Raw genomic sequence first — 18077 nt, 5'->3', positions numbered from 1 at the left:
TCTATATAGTAGAGGTGTTTTAAGAATTACAGCCAGGTGCAGTGGCTCACACCTGTAATCCCAGAACTTTGGGAGGCTGAGGTGGGAGGATTGCCTGAGGTCAGGAGTTTGAGACCAGCCTGGCCAACATGGCGAAAACCTATCTCTACTAAAAACACAAAAAAATTAGCCAGCCATGGTGGCACATGCACACACTCTCAGCTACTTGGGAGGCTGAGGCAGGGGAATTGCTTGATCCCGGAAGGCAGAGGTTGCAGTGAGCTGAGATTGCACCGCTATACTCAAGCCTAGGCAATAGAGCAAGACTCCATCTCAAAAAAAAAAAAAAAAAGAAAGAAAGAAAGAAAGAAAGAAAGAAAAGAATTAAATGACAATGCATGCATTGGTTACACAATGTAAAATAGGTTACACTGGTTAAGCACTTGATACATAGTAAGTGCTTAACCAGTGTATCCTACTTTGCAGATTTCTGAACTAATCTTTGATTTATTATTTTTCTTATTTTTATTTTACTTTGAGGAACAGTCTTCCTCTGTCACCCAGGCTGGAGTGCAGTGGCGTGATCATGGCTCATTGCAACCTCTGCTTCCCGGGTTCAAGTGATCTTCCCTCCTCAGACTCCTGAGTAGCTGGGACTACAGGTGCACATCACCATGCCCGGTTGAATTTTTGCATTTTTAGGAGAGCTGGGGTTTCACCATGTTGCCCAGTCTGGTCTTGAACTCCTGGGTTCAAACGATCCATCTGCCTTAGCCTCCCAAAGTGCTGGGATTACAGGCGTGAGCCACAGCACTTGGCTGTTTTTTTTTTTTTAATGATACAGATAAATATATTTCTGCCCAAATTCTTCAGATAACTTTGCCAGCCTCCAGGTTTGTTGATCTGGAGACAGTGCACTGCAGATCAACTTTAGAATCTCCTTGCTTTTTTTTTTTTTTGAGACAGGGTCTTGCTCTGTTGCCCAGGCTGGAGTGCAGTGGCATGATCCTGGCTCACTGCCACCTCTGCCTCCCAGGTTCAAGCAATTCTCAGCCTCCCAAGTAGCTGGGATTACAGGTGTGCACCACCACACCCAGCTAATTTTTGTATTTTTAGTAGAGATGGGGTTTTGCCATGTTGGCCAGGCTGGTATGGAACTCCTGGCCTCAAGTGATCCTCCTGCCTCGGCCTCCCAAAGTGCTGGGATTACAGGCATGAGCCACCACACCTGGACTCCTTGCTTTTTATAGGAAGTACAGAGCCCATCTCCTTGAGAACGTCCATGATTGTCAACAAAGCTGTGCTTTCCCGAGAAAGGTCAGTCACCACCAAGGACTGGGATCAGGGTTCTTGGCTGCAGGCCTCTTGGTCTAAGGTGTGTTTGCTTTGCTAGTACAGGGTGTTGAGGTGTTTTACAAACACGTTTAACTCCATCATGCCCATGAAAGGGTTTATTAATGTATTCAATTACAAATGAGAGAGTGTTGTTGTTGTTGTTGTTTTAATAGAAAACAGTGACAAAGTAACGAATGCTGCCCTTGGTTATGGACTGAGTCATTCAACATTAGGAAAGGTTCTAAAGGACAAAGGGTAGTTGTGTAATGTATAAAAGCTGCCTTACCTCTGTAGTCAACAATCATCAGCAGTGGATAGAAAACACAGTAGACAAACCCCAAAGGATTTAAAGCGCCATGGCTTGAAGGCAAGACATCCACAGAGTCTACCAGCCCTGTCCGGGAGAATGCCAGCTGTTTGCTTGAAGACTTCGAGCCTAGGAGTGATGAAATGTTTGCCTCAAGCCACGGATATTTCCTCTATATAAGGCGCCTTTGAATTTGCCTGACTTCAAAGCGGAGTGGAGGTTGTGAAGCTGCTAAGGAGATTCTTACAATACTTGCAGATGTTATCTGTCCCAACGGAACTTTCAATGTAGAAAAAAATGGATTTGTTAGGGGAAAACATGCCTGAGAGTGCATTCACCAGTTCAGAGGAGGAGCATGTGCGTGAATTGAAAACATGCCTGTTTGGTGGAAAGAAATCTGAGGGCTGAAAGCTTAAACCCTTCCTAGGCAACTGAACTAACAAACAGTGCACTTAAGAATGATCTTTCAGGACGTAACCTGCTTTTACGTGGAGGAGCTTCTGAACATGAAGAATCTTGCTGCCGCCTGGCAGCTACTTCGTTATTTCTCCACAAATGTGACATGTCAGCTCACATTTGTAAACATGGGTCTCGTTTTTAAAATTCCGAGGGCATAAGCAGATGGTATAGTTGCAGCCTAGACTATATGATCCCGTAATCTTTTGGAGATGATAAAAGAGTGGCTTCCTTAGAGGTTTTAGCTCTGCAGAGCAGGAGCCGAGAGCAGCTCAGAAGAGCACAGGAAAGCAGGTTTGACCCCTGCGGCGATTTACTTCCCTTTCCTCTTTCCTTTTCTAGTCCGGCAAAGTCTAAGGCCTTAGAATTCTAGCCAAACCTACTGGCTGAGGCAGAAGAATGAACAAGAAGCGTCAGCCAGGCCGCTGGCCCAGGCACCAACTCACAGTTGCCCAATAGGATTGAGCTCTGGGGCCGTTTACAAGTCCACGTCATTCCTGTATAAACCTTAGAAGTTTACTGAATAAACCTTAGAATAAGGATATAAGATGACTTATTTTAATATAGTATGTGTCTTTGGAAAATTTTTTATTTTGAAATAACTTTAGACTTACGGAAAAGTAAAAATACTAGACAGGCTGTTTATATATCCCTCACTCGGCTTCCCCTAAGGTTTACATCTTACAGAATGTCAGCACTATAGCACAATGGTCAAAGCCAAGAAAGCAGCTGTGGTAGAGTATGACTAACTAGACTACAGGTTTACTTGGAGTTCACCAGTTTTCCCTCTAAGTCTTTCTTCTGTTTCAAGATCCAAGTGAGGGTCCCATAGTGCATTTAGTCTCTTCAATCTGCAACAGTTCCCCAGTCTTTCCTTGTCATTCATTATTTTGTCACTATTGAAGAAAACCAGTTTGTTATGTTGTAGAATATCCCTCTGTTTGAGTTTCTCGGTTGACTTCCTCCTCTTCTTCTCCTCCTCCTCCTCCTCCTCTTCCTCCTTCTTCTTCTTCTTTCTTCTTCTTCTTCAACAGAGTCTTGCTTTTGTCACCCAGGCTGGTATGCAGTGATGCAATCTCAGCTCTCTGCAACCTCTGCCTCCCGGGTTCAAGCGATTCTCCTGTCTCAGCCTCCTGAGTGGCTGGGATTACAGGCGCCAGGCACCACACCCAGCTAATTTTTGTATTTTTAGTAGAGATGAGGTTTCACCATGCTGGCCAGGCTGGTCTTGAACTCCTGACTTCAAGTGATGTGCCTGCCTTGGCCTCCCAAAGTGCTGGGATTACAGGCGTGAGCCACTGTGCATGGCCAATTTGTTCCTTTTTATTGCTAAATAATATTCCATTTTTTAGGCACTTCAGGTTATTGCTGCCATTCTTTCATAGTGCCTTGAATTAGGCCTAGAGTTATTATTATTATTATTATTTTTTTTTGACACAGAGTTTCACTCTTGTTGCCCAGGCTGGAGTGCAATGGCACGATCTTGGCTCACTGTAACCTCTGCGTCCCAGGTTCAAGCGATTCTCCTGCCTCAGCCTCCCGAGTAGCTGTGATTACAGGCATGCACCACCATGCCCAGATAATTTTGTATTTTTAGTAGAGATGGGGCTTCACCATGTTGGTCAGGCTGGTCTTGAACTCCCAACCACAGTTGATCTGCCTGCCTCAACCTCCCAAAGTGCTGGGATTACAGGCATGAGCCACTGTGCCCGGCCGGCCTAGAGTATTTCAGAGGAAAAAGTGAGACACACACTGCTGCTTTGGTGGCACTTTGGATTCTCCTTTTCCTCAATCTGCCTGCTACTATTTACCTCCCAGAAATACTATTTACTCGCCGGGCGCGGTGGCTCACAGTGTGAGATTCTGTCTCAAAATAAATAAATAAATAAATAAAAGACTGTTTACTTTCCTTTATTTTTTTATTTATTTATTTTTTTGAGACGGAGTCTCGCTCTGTCACCCAGGCCAGACTGCGGACTGCAGTGGCGCAATCTCCGCTCACTGCAATCTCCGCTTCCTGGGTTCACGCCATTCTCCTGCCTCAGCCTCCCGAGTAGCTGGGACTACAGGCGCCCGCCACCGCGCCCGCCTAATTTTTTTTTGTATTTTTAGTAGAGACGGGGTTTCACCTTGTTAGCCAGGATGGTCTCGATCTCCTGACCTCATGATCCACCCGCCTCGGCCTCCCAAAGTGCTGGGATTACAGGCGTGAGCCACCGCGCCCGGCCTCCTTTATTTTTTTTAATTTAAACATTTTAAAAATGTTTATAGAGACACGGTCTTGCTGTGTTGCCCAGGCTGGTGTCAAACTGCTGATCTCAAGTGATCCTTTGCCTTGGCCTCCCAAAATGCTGGGATTACATTCTGTCCAGGTTTTTATAAGTGCAGTTGGGAGAGCCCAGGTGGAGTGTGGGTTTGCCCTCCTACTCAGAATTGGAACCTCTATCCATTGTCTGTTTGGTTTTCTTTTTCTTTCTTTATTTTGTTTGTTTTGTTATGTGTTTTGTTTTGTTTTGTTTTTTGAGACAGGGTCTCCCTCTGTCACCCAGGCTGGAGTGCAATAGTGTGATCATGGCCCACTGCAGCCTTGACCTCCTGGGTTCAAGTGACCCTCCCACCTCAGCCTCCTGAGTAGCCAGAAGTACAGGCATGCAACACCACACTCAGCCTTTTTTTTTTTTTTTTTTTTTTTTTTTTTGTAGAGATAGGGTCTCACTATGTTACCCAAGCTGGTCTTGAACTCCTGGGCTCAAGAGATCCTCCGCCTTGGCCTCCCAAAGTGTTAGGAGTAAAGGCTTGAGCCACTGCACCCAGCCTCTATTAGCTTTTAAATGTCTGAAGTCAGTGTGTTTCCTGATCCTTTTAATTGACTTATTTTCTCTTTATGAAAACCCGTAGGATTTTTTTTTTTGGACATTTCTCATTGATGTTCCTTGGTGTGATTCTATTTTCATCTACTGTCTTGGGCACTTGGTGAGCTTTTCATTCTGGAAATTCACGTCCTTCTGTTCTGGGCAAACTTCTTGATGAATTTTGTCGATGGGTTTCCCTCGATTTCTCTTTTCTCTCTTCCTGAGACTCCTTCTATTATTTAATGTCAGCCCTCCTGGACTCATCCTCTCCTTTTCTCTTTCATTTTATAGCTCTTTGTCTTTTTCCTCTAGCTTCTGGGATACTTCCCATCAACTTGATTTTCCAGCCTCTCTATTTAATTTGTCATCTGTATGCTCCTGTTTTTAATTCTCAAGAGCTCTTCTAGCTGTTGCTGTTCTCTGTGTGGGTTTTTTTCTTTCCTTTTTTATGGATCTTTTGTCATCTCTCTGAGGATATTAATTATTTTGGAGGAAGTTTTCTTCTCCCTGCATACACTCCAGTTTGTCTTTTTCTTCTGTTTGTTTTGTCTGTATCTTCAAGAAAAAGAATTGAGAACCAAAAAGCTAACTGGAAGCTTGGAGCTCAAGGCAGGGTTTGTTGCCTGTGAGCTTCACTGCAGGGTCAGCTGGCGGGCTGGACCATTTGTTGAACAAACCTAATTTCAGTATCTTCTGATGATTTCTCTTGAGCTGGTCAGATTCTCTGGAGCAGAATTTTAGTCTCCTGCCTGGATGCTTAAGATCTGGCCATCAGTGCTCTGGGAGCTAAGCTGGGGGAAGAGGGCCTGGGGGTCTCATCACTCAGCATCCACTGTGTATACAGTCATTTAATCTTCTTGGTTTTGACACGGTACTTTCAGCTTCCCAAGTCCAAATACTTCTGTTTTGCACTCGTAAGAGAGTGAGATGTGTAGACTATGAAGGGGTGGAGGCAAAGAAGCTTCCAGGTGACAAAGAGACAGGGAAGGAATCTCGTTGTATCTCTGGGGTCGCCACCCAGTCCTTGTTTCCACCACCCTCTTTGAACCTCCATTTCCAGAGGTATCTGGTGCTGTTAGGTACCAGGTACCTGAGCTTTGTGAAGATTCTATAGTGAATAAGTTTATCCTTAGCTTTATTAACCACCAACTCCAGGCCTGTTAATTTGTGTTTTCCTCATTTATCACTTATAGAGGCTTCCTAGCTTCTATTCCTTTGTTGCTACTGTCTCCTGTCCCTCCTATTTTTGTAGGATATGTCTTTTAGAAAATTTCTATACTGCAAATTTAGTGTGTTTTGGGAGGAACTACATTAGGTGTGTGTATTCATTCTTGCATCCTAAAGTGGACGTCTAAAATGCATTTTTTTGAAATTACAGAAATCATAACTTGACTCTACAATGGAATGTGGATGCCACCTTGACTTTGCTAGGCCTCGGGTGGACAAGTGACCTGTAAAAGCCACACAGCTAGTTATTGGCAAAGCAGCCATAGAACCCAGGACTCAACTTGCCTAACTCTGTTGGTTCTATATCGTCACAATGCTCTTTATTATCATCATCAAATACACTTTAAAAAAACACTTCTGCTGGGCACAGTGGCTCGAGCCTGTAATCCCAGCACTTTGGGAGGCCAAGGAGGGGTGGATCACCTGAGGTCAGGAGTTCAAGACCAGCTTGACCAACATGGTGAAACCCCTTCTCTACTAAAAATACAAAAATTAGCCAGGCGAGGTGGCACACGCCTGTAGTCCCAGCTACTCGGGAGGCTGAGGCAGGAGAATTGCATGAACCTGGGAGACAGGGGTTGCAGTGAACCAAGATCATGCTACTGCACTCCAGCCTGAGTGACAGAGCAAGACTCTGTCTCAAAAAACAAACAAACAAAAAACCTTTTATTATTTGTTTGTTTGTTTATTTATTTATTTATTTTGCCACCACCCCCAGCTAATTTTTGTATTTTTAGTAGAGACAGGATTTCACTATGTTGGCCAGGTTGGTCTCAAACTCCTGACCTCAGGTGATCCGCCCGCCTCGGCCTCCCAAAGTGCTGGGATTACAGGCATGAGCCACCGTGCCCAGCTATAAATAGTTTAGAATGCACAAGAAGTTGCAAAAATAAGTTGCAGACAGTCTTCACTTGCCCTTTCTCCAGCTTTCCCCATGATGTCATCTTATATAACAATATATGTCAAAACCAGGAGCTTGATGCTGTTATAATAGTCTTAAGTCAGGTGCACACTTTCAAGTAACACTTTTGATGTAAAAATGTGTATATTCTGTTAATAAAAAGCCAGAAAAAGACCTAATCTTGGCCAGGCGTGGTGGCTCACGCCTGTAATCCCAGCACTTTGGGAGGCCAAGGCGGGTGGATCATCTGAGGTCAGAAGTTCGAGACCAGCCTGGCTAACGTGGTGAAACCCTGTCTCTACTAAAAATACAAAAACTAGCTGGGCGTGGTGACGGGCGCCTGAAGTCCCAGCTACTCTGGAGGCTGAGGCAGGAGAATCGCTTGAACCTGGGAGGCAGAGGTTGCAGTGAGCCGAGATCACACCACTGCATTCCAGCCTGGGTGACAGGGTGAGACTCTGTCTCAAGAAAAAACCCAGTCTTTTCCTATTAAGAAACTTACCATCTAAATAAACATCTAAAGATAACTTGCCAAATAACAAAACCCAAGTACAGGTCCAAAATATATTTTAGGGCATTCTTTCAGAAAAGCAAGAAGTGGGAGAAAGGAGAATAGGCTTTGAAATCAGACAAATCTAGGTCTGAGTTGAGCCTTGCTATTGAAGATTTCTGTGTCCCTGGGCAAGGCATTTCCCTGATCCTCATCTGCTTGATTGTAAAATGAAGAATATTACTATCTACTCTTTAAGATTGAGATGGTACATATATATCATACATATGTATATTAACTGCCTAGAACAGTGATTGGCACATAGTAGATATTTAATAAATGGCCAACATAATAAAGATTAATAAAATAAGAATCCCTAAAGTCATAATTCTCTGGTTGCTTGTGTAAGTTCAAGTCCTGCCAAAAGGATAATGTTTGTCTTACTGCAGTATCAGTTCACAAACTGCTCAGCTCCAGCCCAGGTGAGGAGGCTTGCTCCTTCCCCAAATTCCCCAATTCCACATACAAGTCCAAAGGTCTCACCCCACACAGGAAGCTTTCATGACAGGCACAGTAGGAGTGTTCTGGTATTTAAAAGCACATACCAATTCCACATTGAGCTTTAGTAGACTATCTGAATAAAAACACAAGTTAATGTTTGAAGTAGCAACTTGGGGCTTGCAAAGGCCTCCATCGGTCCTTATGCAGATGGTTGTCAGATAAGCCCTGCTTCCCACCACACCTGGTGCCCCGCCTGCCTGACTCTGGCTTAAATTTCCTGCCCTTGGCACTAACCGGAAAGCACTCACAAAGACAGCAGCTGCTGGTATGGTCCCGTGGCAAGGAAGGCACTCCGCCCAAAACCTGCCTTCTGTTTAAGTTGCAAAGCAATGATTGTCCTGTGGGGGTGGGAGGTCTCGGTCAGTGGGGACCAACAGATGGCCCTCAACCAGACTGGACAATGTCCTCATTTGGGTCCATCCAAGTAGCCTGATGGTAAAACCAGACCAGAGGATAAAGAGAAAGCTACTTTTTGATATGTAGCTCTTCTCCGTTCCTATCGCCTATGATGAAAGAATAACTTTCAGGCCTTTCTTTATGTCTCCAGCCCCATTCTTTCCTCCACTTCCCTCCCAAAATCATGTTGCCTTCTGCCTGTTTAATTTATCTGTGTTTTTTATGTTTTTATTTTTTAAAACTATTTATTTATTTATTTATTTATTTTGAGACAGAATCTCACTATGTCACCCAGGCTGGAGTGCAGTGATGTGATCTCAGCTCATTGCAACCTCTGCCTCCAGGTTTAAGCAATTCTCCTGCTCCCAAGTAGCTGGGATTATAGGTGTACACCACCACACCCAGCTAATTTTTTTTTTTTTTGTATTTTTAGTAGAGACAGGGTTTCACCATGTTGGCCAGGCTGGTCTCAAACTCCCGACCTCAGGTGATCTGCCCACCTCGGCCTCCCAAAGTGCTGACATTACAGGTGTGAGCCACTGTGCCCTATTTATATGTGTGTTTTTAAAGGTGTTCAGCTATAGCTTTTGGTAGTTTAATAGAATTGCTAGTTAAAGAAAATCTCTCTTGTATTAGTCACGTAATTCACATAAACCAGAATATCCTAAGGAAATTCGGCTACATCTCAATTAACTGTGTGGTAAGTAAGTGCTGTGACATAAACAGAAAACACGGCTTGTTATGGGCGAAATTGTTTCCCTTCGAAATCCATATGTTGAAGCCTGAACCCCTAATACCTCAGCTTGTAACTACTATATATTTGGAGACAGGATCTTTAAAAAGGTGATTAAGTTAAAATTAGATTATAAAGGCAGGCCTTAATCCAATCTGACTTGTGTCCTCATAAGAAGAGGCAATTAGGACACAGACATTTCCAGAGGCAAGACCATGTGAAGACACAGGGCCATCTATAACTCCAGGAGAGAGGTCACAGGAGAAACTAACCCTCCCCACACCGTGGTCTCAGACTTCAGCCTGCAGAACTGTGGTGTGATAAGCCTCTGTTGTAGGCTAGGCACAGTGGCTCACACCTGTAATCGCAACACCTTGGGAGGCTGAGGTGAGTGGATCACTTGAGGTCAGGAGAAAAGCTTGGCCAACATGGTGAAATCCTGTCTCTACTAAAAATACAAAAATTAGCTGTGTGTGGTGGAGGTGCCTGTAATCCCAGCTGCTTGGGAGGCTGAGGCAGGAGAATCACTTGAACCCGGGAGGCGGAGGTTGCAGTGAGCCAAGATCACACCACTGCACTCCAGCCTGGGCAACAGAGTGAGATTCCGTCTCAAAGTGTCTGCTGTGTGAACCACCCAGTCTGCGGTACAATTCGATCAATTTTGACATATATCTATGCTCATGAAACCATCACCACAATGACAATGAACATATCTGTTCATCATCTCCAAAAGTTTCCTTATGCACTTTTGTAATTCCTCTCTCCCTTCCCCTATTTCCCAGTGCACCATGGAAACTGCTTTTGGTCCCTGTAGATTAATTTGCCATTTCTAGAGTCTTTTGTAAATGGAACCGTACAGTATGCACTCCTTTACCTTGCATAATTCTCTGGAGATTCATCCAGGTGGTTGTGTGTATCAGTAGTTCATTCCTTTTCAGTGCTGAGTAGTATTCCACAGCATAGATAAACCCAGTTTATCCATCTGAGGTAGGAGACCAGCAGGATTTATTTCCCAGTCTCAGGCAGGAAAAAGTGAAGAAACCAGCGGGAACCAGCAAATGACAACAAAAGCCATCCCTAGCTGTCATCATTGCTCATTAGCATAAGACACTCACACCAATGTCATGACAGTTTACAAATGCCATGACAATGACCTAGAAGTTCCCGTCCCTTTCCTAGAAAGTTCTAAATAACCCGCCTCTCAATTTGCTTTAACTGTCCCTTAATTTGCTTGTAATTGAAAGTTGGTATAAGGGGGTAGAAATACAGTTGCCAACAGCTCATTTCTTGCCAACTCTAGATGCACTGTCTATGAGTTAGCCCTGCTCTGCAAGGAGCAGTACTGTTCAGTACAAGATTGCTGTCTAACATGGCAGCTCACCCTTGAATTCTTTCCTGGGCAAAGCCCGGGCTAAGCCCCAGTTTTGGGGCTCGCCTGTCCATCATCACATATACTTATGAAGGCACCCCTTAAAGGCTTCTTATGGTTTTGTGAGATTGTGAATAAGTTATTAAAAGCATTCATGTACAAGTCTTTCATTGTATGAACATATGGTTTTTTTTTCCTTTTGAAAAAATAACTAGAAGTGAAATGGCTGGATCATGTGGTAGGTGTATGTTTAACTTTTTATCTTATTTTTTTTAGATAGAGTCTCATTCTTTCACCCAGGCTGGAGTGCAGTGGCTCGATCTTGGCTCACTGCCACCTCCGCCTCCTGGGTTCAAGTGATTCTCCTGCCTCAGCCTCCTGAGTAGCTGGTACTACAGGTGTGCACCACCACACCTGGCTAATTTTTGTATTTTTTTTTTTTTGGTAGAGGTGGGGTTTTGCCATGTTGGCCAGGCTGGTCTCAAACTCCTGACCTCAGGTGATCCGCCTGCCTCAGCCTCTCAAAGTGCAGGAATTACAGGCAAGAGCCACCACGCCCGGCCGGGTGTATGTTTAATTTTTTAAGAATCGAACTTTTCCAAAATGGCTATATCATTTTGCATGACCCCCAGCTGTGTATGAGAGTTCCAGCTCTTCTTCATCCTTGCCAATACTTGGTAACTGGTCGTTCTGACTTTAGTCATTCAAATAGATGTGTAGTGGCACATCCTTGCGATGCTAATTTGCATTTCCCTAATGATGTTGAGCATCATTGCTATCCATGCATGTTTTTTAATGAAGTATCTGCTCAATGCTTTTACTTATTGTTTTCATTGGATTATTTATTGTCTAACAGAGTTTTGAGAGGTCAGTATGTATTCTGGATACAAGACCTTTATCACATACATACTTTGCAAATATTTTCTCCAGCCTATGGCTTGTGTTTTCATTCTCTTGATAGTGTCATTCAAAGGGCAGAAGTTTTTAATTTCGATGAAGTCAAGTTATCAATCTTTCTTTTATTGCTTGTGCTTTTGGGGTCGTTTCTAAGAAATCCTGGTCTAACCCAATAACACCAAGATTTTCTCCTATGTTTTCTATAAAAATGTTACAGTTTTCAGTTTTACATTTAGGTCTGTGGTCTATTTTGAGTTAATTTTTGTATATGGTACAAGGTATGAATCAAAGTTCTTTTTTTTTTTTTTGCATATGGATGTTCAATAGTTTCAGCACCATTTGTTGAAAAAGACTGTTCCTTCACTGATGAATTGCTTTTATCTCTTTGTCATATCAGTTTCTCCTATGTGTATGAGTATATTTCTGGACTTTTAATTCTGTTCCATTGATATTTGTGTCTGTCTTTATGTCAATCTGTACCACACAGTCTTGATTACTGTAGCTTCATAGTAAGTCTTGAAATTAGGAAGTGTTAATTCTCTAACTTTGCTCTTTTGAGTGTGCTTTGTAGACAGCATATTGATTAATGCTGTTATTGCTACTTGGAGGTCCTTTTGGGTAAACCTAACTCATTTCCTGTCTTAATCCCCTGTGTGGTTCTTAAGGATTTGTGCCTTCTCCTCAAGCCCCTACCCTGCCTTTGCTCCTCTCATTCTTAGTTCTTGACTTTGCCCCTGCCTTGGCCCAAAAGTTAAAGTCATCAGCTAACGATTCTTTTGAGCTCTTATGCTCCTCTGCTATAAGGTCACCTCCATTTGCACTAATCCTTACCTGCTTGGTTCCTAGCTCAGAGAACAATACCAGTTATAATGACAGTTAGCTAATTATAGTTAACAAATATTGAGTTATTTCTATGGGCCAAACACAGATATGCACTTCACACCATTTCTCATTTAATCAGCATAACATTTCTATCAGATGGAGAGATATTATTATTCTCATTTTACAGAAGAGGAAACAGAGGCAACAAGGTTCATTACTTCATTATCTTTTCCATGGTTTTGTAGCTAGAAGGAGATGGAGCTGGCATTCAAGCCCAGGGCTGTGTGATTTCTGTCCCTCCTCCTGGCCAAAGCTAACAATCCCAGCAGTGCTCACAATTTTGTCCCCACGTAGCTGATGGAGAAGCTCGCTCCATTCATTATCCAGTGTCCCACCCCACCCCCACCCCCATTGTCTCTTCTACTTTCCCTCTCCACTTGCTCCTTTCTTTTTTCTTTTTAAAAGATTTTAGAATTATTTATTTATTTTGAGACAGGGACTTGCTCTGTTGCCCAGGCTTACTAAATTTATCTGGGTCCTTTGTAATTTCTGCATTCATCCTAATTTTTTGGAAGAAAAGTTCAAAGTAGCAGAATGTAGTGGCACAATCATAGCTACTGCAGCCTCAAACTCCTGGGCTCAGACAATCCTCCTGCCTCATCCTCCCAAAGCTCTGAGATTACAGGCATGAGTCACTGCACCTGGCCCTTGCTCCTTTTCATCATGGTGCTCACAACAAAATAAGTATTTTCAACTTGGGCTAAGAAGTTAAAGATATCCAACCCTTTTCTGCAGCCAGGCTTGGGTTCTGCAGCTTCATATGTTAAGTTGTGTATTTGATAGCTTCACCAGAATACGTCGGGGGCACCTCAAACATCAAAACAAAACCTACCATCTTCTCTCCAAACCCGCTCTTCTTTCTGAATTCTCTGTCTCAGCAGATGGCTCTTCCAACCATGCAGTAGTCCAAGCCCAAAACCGGCAATGGAAAAACCCAGATTTTGGTTTCAAAACCCTGCTCTGCCACTTACCAGATAGGAGACTATTGGCCCTCAGTTTCCCAATCTGAAAAGTAGGAATAATAGTCCTACCTCACATGGTTGCTTTTAAGGCTAAGTGATCATGTTAGTTGCTCAAAAATAAGAAATTATCATCATTATCATCATTGTCATTATCATTATTATTGTCATTGTCACCTCGTGATGCTTCCTTGCCTAAGTTCTACAAAAATATCCTGCACCCTCCTTTTAATTCCTTTGATTCTGCTGTTACTTTTGCCAAAAGGTTATCCTGACATTCTAGAGCAGTGATTGCTAAAGTGCCAAATCAATCCTTAGAGATTCAGGAAGAAAGTATTAGAACGTTAATTTATATTCATTTAAAAAAATCTCATCTTTTAGGTTTCTATTTATAATTTTTAAATGTTTAATAGAGTATATATAAAATTTAGAAATAAATATAACTATTGAGGGTGCATGTTCAAAATTGTTGCGAAGGCTAGATTATAAAAATAGTTGGGAGGTCACCATTCTTGGCTGGGTAAGGTGACCCTGTTCTTTTCTTCCCCCAGAATGACATGCTGCTTTGTCATTATTTATTGTCTTCCTTATGGACAACATGAGGACAGCGACTGTGATTCAGTCAGGATGAATCTGCAGACAGCAGGATCCACTCTAGTTATAGTAGAAATGGATTTATTAGAGGTGGATGACTTTCAGCAGAGGTCCCTAAACTTAAGGGCATAGCAGAATCACCTAGAAGGCTTGCTAAAGTCAAGCCTACCAGGTCCCGCCCCCAGAGTTTCTGATTCAGCAGGTCTGGGGTGGGGCCCAAGAATTTGCATTTCTAACAAGTTCCCAGGTGCTGCTGGTCCAGAGCCCACCCTTGGAGAACCACTGGGCTATAGAATGATGTCAAGGGCTGGAGAGGGAGGCTACAGAGTGGGTCTAGGTCCAGGTACAGTCTCAGAACCACACTGCAAAACTGGCTTAGTCAGGTAGCTGCTGTATCTGCTGCTTCCACTGTGAACTCAAAAACCACATTGCCTGTGCTGCAGGCCGGAAAGCTGCTGAACCAGGAAGCTGTGCTGATGCTGCTGACTGCCCCTGAGGTTAGAGATTGACTAGACATAGTGCCACTGTCATCCCTGCTGGAGAAGGTCCGAAGCACCTCCACCTCTGTGCTTCCAGAGGGGCACTGTGGTGGCCACTTAAAATGCTCAGGCTATACCATGCACTAGAGCATCTACCTGGGTAAGCTGCTATTATTATTATAATCGACCTGGAAGATTACTCTGGGGAAACCCTAGTGCAAGGGACTTTGGAGGAAGAGGTCTTTGGTGTTTCAGGCTTTGGTGCACAGGAAATCTTGCTAGGAGGTTGGAGTGGTTTTGTGTGAGGTGAGAGCAATGTCTGCTGCAGACTATTTTTCATGTTGGCTCCTGGTATGGTGCCTGAGCTCTAGGACTTGGCACATAGAAGGCCCTCTTCCTTTTCCTTCCTCAACCTGCTAGTCTCAGCCACTCCCCTGAGCACATACAGTATGCTGAAGTGTTTCAGTGTTTCAAGTGGGCTCTTGAGCATGCTAGGTATCCAGGGAGACCAGAATTCTTGCAGTGACAAGTCCGCTGGGGCTATTTCCATCTAGGAGTCAGTCTCACTTAGCTCACTGGGGATCTAGGTTACATGTGTTTTCCCAGAGTGACCTCCCCCTAACCCCCTTCCCTCCACATCCTTGTCTCCAGAGCCTGGAACCCTGGGATGCCACCTTGGTCTTGAGAATCTCAGGCTGAATCCATTTCTAGGAGGGAGACATGAGATTCTTCCACAAATGAGGTGGGGAGGGGTTGGAGGAAACTATTATTTCTAATACACCCTTCAGGCAACAGGTGCAAGCATAGAGAGTTCCAGCTTAAACTTTAGGATGGTATGACAGTGACAGGCATTTAGCAGAAAGTGCACTTCAGGGCTGGGCGCGGTGGCTCACGCCTGCAATCCCAGCACTTTGGGAGGCCGAGAAGGGTGGATCATGAGGTCAGGAGATTGAGACCATCCTGGCTAACACAGTGAAACCCCGTCTCTACTACAAATACAAAAATTAGCCAGGCATGGTGGCACACGCATGTAGTCCCAGCTACTCAGGAGGCTGAGGCAGGAGAATCGCTTGAACCTGGGAGGTGGAGGTTGCAGTGAGCCAAGATCATGCCACTGCACTCCAGCCTGGGCAACAGAGTGAGACTCCGTCTCAAAAAAAAAAAACAAAAAGTGCACTTCGGATTCTGAAGACTGGCCTTTATCCCACAGGCAAGGGATATGCTGTATGACACTCTCCTGATGCTGGGCATGGCTGTGAGCCAAAGCACCCAGGCAGCCCTGCCATCAGAAGGGTAAACCACGGACACCTGATGCCTTCCTGAAGGAAGAGCACTACGCCTGCCAAACCATCAAGCGTTGATGCTCCAGCGCCTTCTACCCGTGGTTCTCCAGCCTCAGCAGAAGAGAGAGAAATTGATGACCCTGTCGTTGTAGCATCCCCATCACCCAGCAATTAATTTTAGTTCAATGCTTCAAACGCTCTTCAGGCGCAGTGTGCGTTCAGCTGTGTCAGCTAATGGTGAGTACCCGGACAACCATTCTGTTTCACATTCAGTACAGTATTCAATAAATCACATGAGATACTCAACACTGTATTATAACATAGATAGGCCTGTGTTACATTATGTTGCCCACTGTAAGCTAATGTAAGTGTTCTGAGCACGTTTAAGGGAGGCGAGGCTGAGCTCTGATATTCGATAGGTTAGGTGTATTCAAAGCATTTTAGACTTTCAATATTTTCAATTTACAATGGCTTTTATAGGGATGTCACTCCACCGTAGGTCGAGGAGAATATGTAGTCAAGTTGCCTGGTCATGAGCACATTTTAGGTCAAGGTGTGTTTTACGCAGCTTCTAGGGTTTGCTCCTTCCTTTTGAGTTTGAGCCTGGGGGTGTGGGTTGAGGATAAAGAGTAGGTGTGGGCCAGGAGTGGTGGCTCACATCTGTAATCCCAGCACTTTGGGAGGCCGAGGTGGGAGGATCTCCTGAGCCCAGGGGTTCGAGATCAGTCTGGGGAAGGGACGAGACCTTGTCTCTACAAAATTAAAATAAAAATAAATAAATTAGCCAGGCCTGGTGGTGCATGCCTGTAGTCCCAGCTACTCAGGAGACTGAAGCAGGAGGATCACTTGAGCCCAGGACTTTGAGGCTGCAGTGAGCTATGATCACGCCACTGCACTCCAGCATGAGCAATAGAGTGAGACCCTGTCTGTATTGAGAGAGAGAGAGAGAGAGAGAGAGAGAGAGAGAGAGAGAGAGAGAGACACACACAGAGAGACAGACAGAGAGAGAACAAAGAGCAGGTGTGATCGGAGCTCAGGAAATCCTCCCTCTGGTAAGTAGTCTCAGCCTTCTATTGAGGCTGCCACCACAGTGCCATCCACAGCTTTTGCAGACCATGACATACGCAAACTGTTGTAAAATTTTGGCAGTGCTCATAGTCTCAGAGCCAAGCTTTGAAACAGAGAGGCAGCAGGAGACAGTGGGAGGAGGGTGGGATTAGAGACAGAAGGTCTCCGGGTTTGAATCTTTTCTCTCTATTGGCTGGTTGTGTGACTCTTGTCTCAGCTTCTTGGGCTGTACAAAGAGAAAACTAACACCTGCCTTAGAGACTTGTGATGATTTAATGTAGAGTGTGTGACATGTTATTGGATATTAGCAATTGCTGATATTTATAATGAAGAGCACTGGAAGCTGTCACAGTTCTCATAGTTTATTTTGCATTTGCTCCTCAGCATCCTCTGCTCATCTCAGTGTCTGTGTGGTCTTAGTGGGATGCTGACTATATTAATACTTGTAAACTTTACTCATTTTCCATCTCAAATGGGACAAGGGATAAAAATTATTTTTTATATTGTATATTTATTTAGTAAGTGAGCACTTTCCATTTTAGGCACTGGAGACACAGAAATGAAAGAGACAACGTGCCCTCAAGGATCTCACAGTGTGTGGTGAGGTGGACACACACACACATATCTAAGCACATGACAGTGAGAGGCACGTGGTCACGAGGTTGTGACGTGGAGCTGAGAGCTCAGAGGAAGGGCTTTGGATCAAGTGTGGTCAGACCACACTCGGCCATGAAAGTCTTTGAAGGTGGGGAAGGGGTGAAGATGGTGAGGGGATTCCACGGCTGGGAGAGGTACACTCCCTACACGTTCTAACCAACTGGCCGTGGGGAGGAAGCTGGAGGTCAGGACACAGGTAGGGCCTGGGTTTTTGCCTCATGTGACTGGGTGGATGGTCACAATTCGGCCATGCTGTCTTTGAACTCAACACCACCAAAATCATAGGATATTCCTAGTAATGTTGATTTCCACTAGATTACTTTTGTTACCAGAGTTTTAAGGGCAGAAGTCTTTGTCCCTTTTTTTCTCTAACAGGAAGCCATTCTGGGCCATTTATTTGCCGTTAACTTACACAGCCCACTGGAGAGTGGAGGGGTGTGAATGTGGGAGCCTGGGTGAGGGCTGCACCGGACTGTCACCAGGACAGTCCTCAATGCTGCCTGACTTAGCCACATTGCCAAAAACATACACCCATAGGTTATGAAATATTCAATACTGTATTGTATGGGAGAAATACAAAGAGGAGAAAGAACTGGGTTGAAAAGGTGGTCTGGTCAGGTATCTCAACCCACTGGCTTATAGACCAGGAACC

At 44.2% G+C, this 18077-nt stretch overlaps 1 long non-coding RNA gene across 1 annotated transcript in view, besides 2 other annotated features; it reads left to right on the top strand.

Annotated features, from left to right (window-relative positions):
• Window positions 14192-14251: an enhancer, noted in NCBI's record as "active region_7534". NCBI's record gives its function as "activates an Ori minimal core promoter by ATAC-STARR-seq in GM12878 lymphoblastoid cells {active_cell/tissue: GM12878}" and the evidence as "EXISTENCE:reporter gene assay evidence [ECO:0000049][PMID:35858748]".
• Window positions 14382-14501: an enhancer, noted in NCBI's record as "active region_7533". NCBI's record gives its function as "activates an Ori minimal core promoter by ATAC-STARR-seq in GM12878 lymphoblastoid cells {active_cell/tissue: GM12878}" and the evidence as "EXISTENCE:reporter gene assay evidence [ECO:0000049][PMID:35858748]".
• Window positions 17490-18077, top strand: part of LINC00426 (long intergenic non-protein coding RNA 426) — a 33649-nt gene continuing 33061 nt past the window's right edge. The window contains exon 1 of the long non-coding RNA NR_024464.2: window positions 17490-17621. This is a non-coding gene — a long non-coding RNA (long intergenic non-protein coding RNA 426). The remainder of the gene's footprint in view (window positions 17622-18077) is intronic.

The sequence above is a fragment of the Homo sapiens genome, chromosome 13 (assembly GCF_000001405.40).
Source record: "Homo sapiens chromosome 13, GRCh38.p14 Primary Assembly".
NCBI lineage: Eukaryota > Metazoa > Chordata > Mammalia > Primates > Hominidae > Homo > Homo sapiens.
The sequence above is the reverse complement of the archived record's forward strand: the minus strand, read 5'-3'. Positions and strand labels throughout refer to the sequence as shown.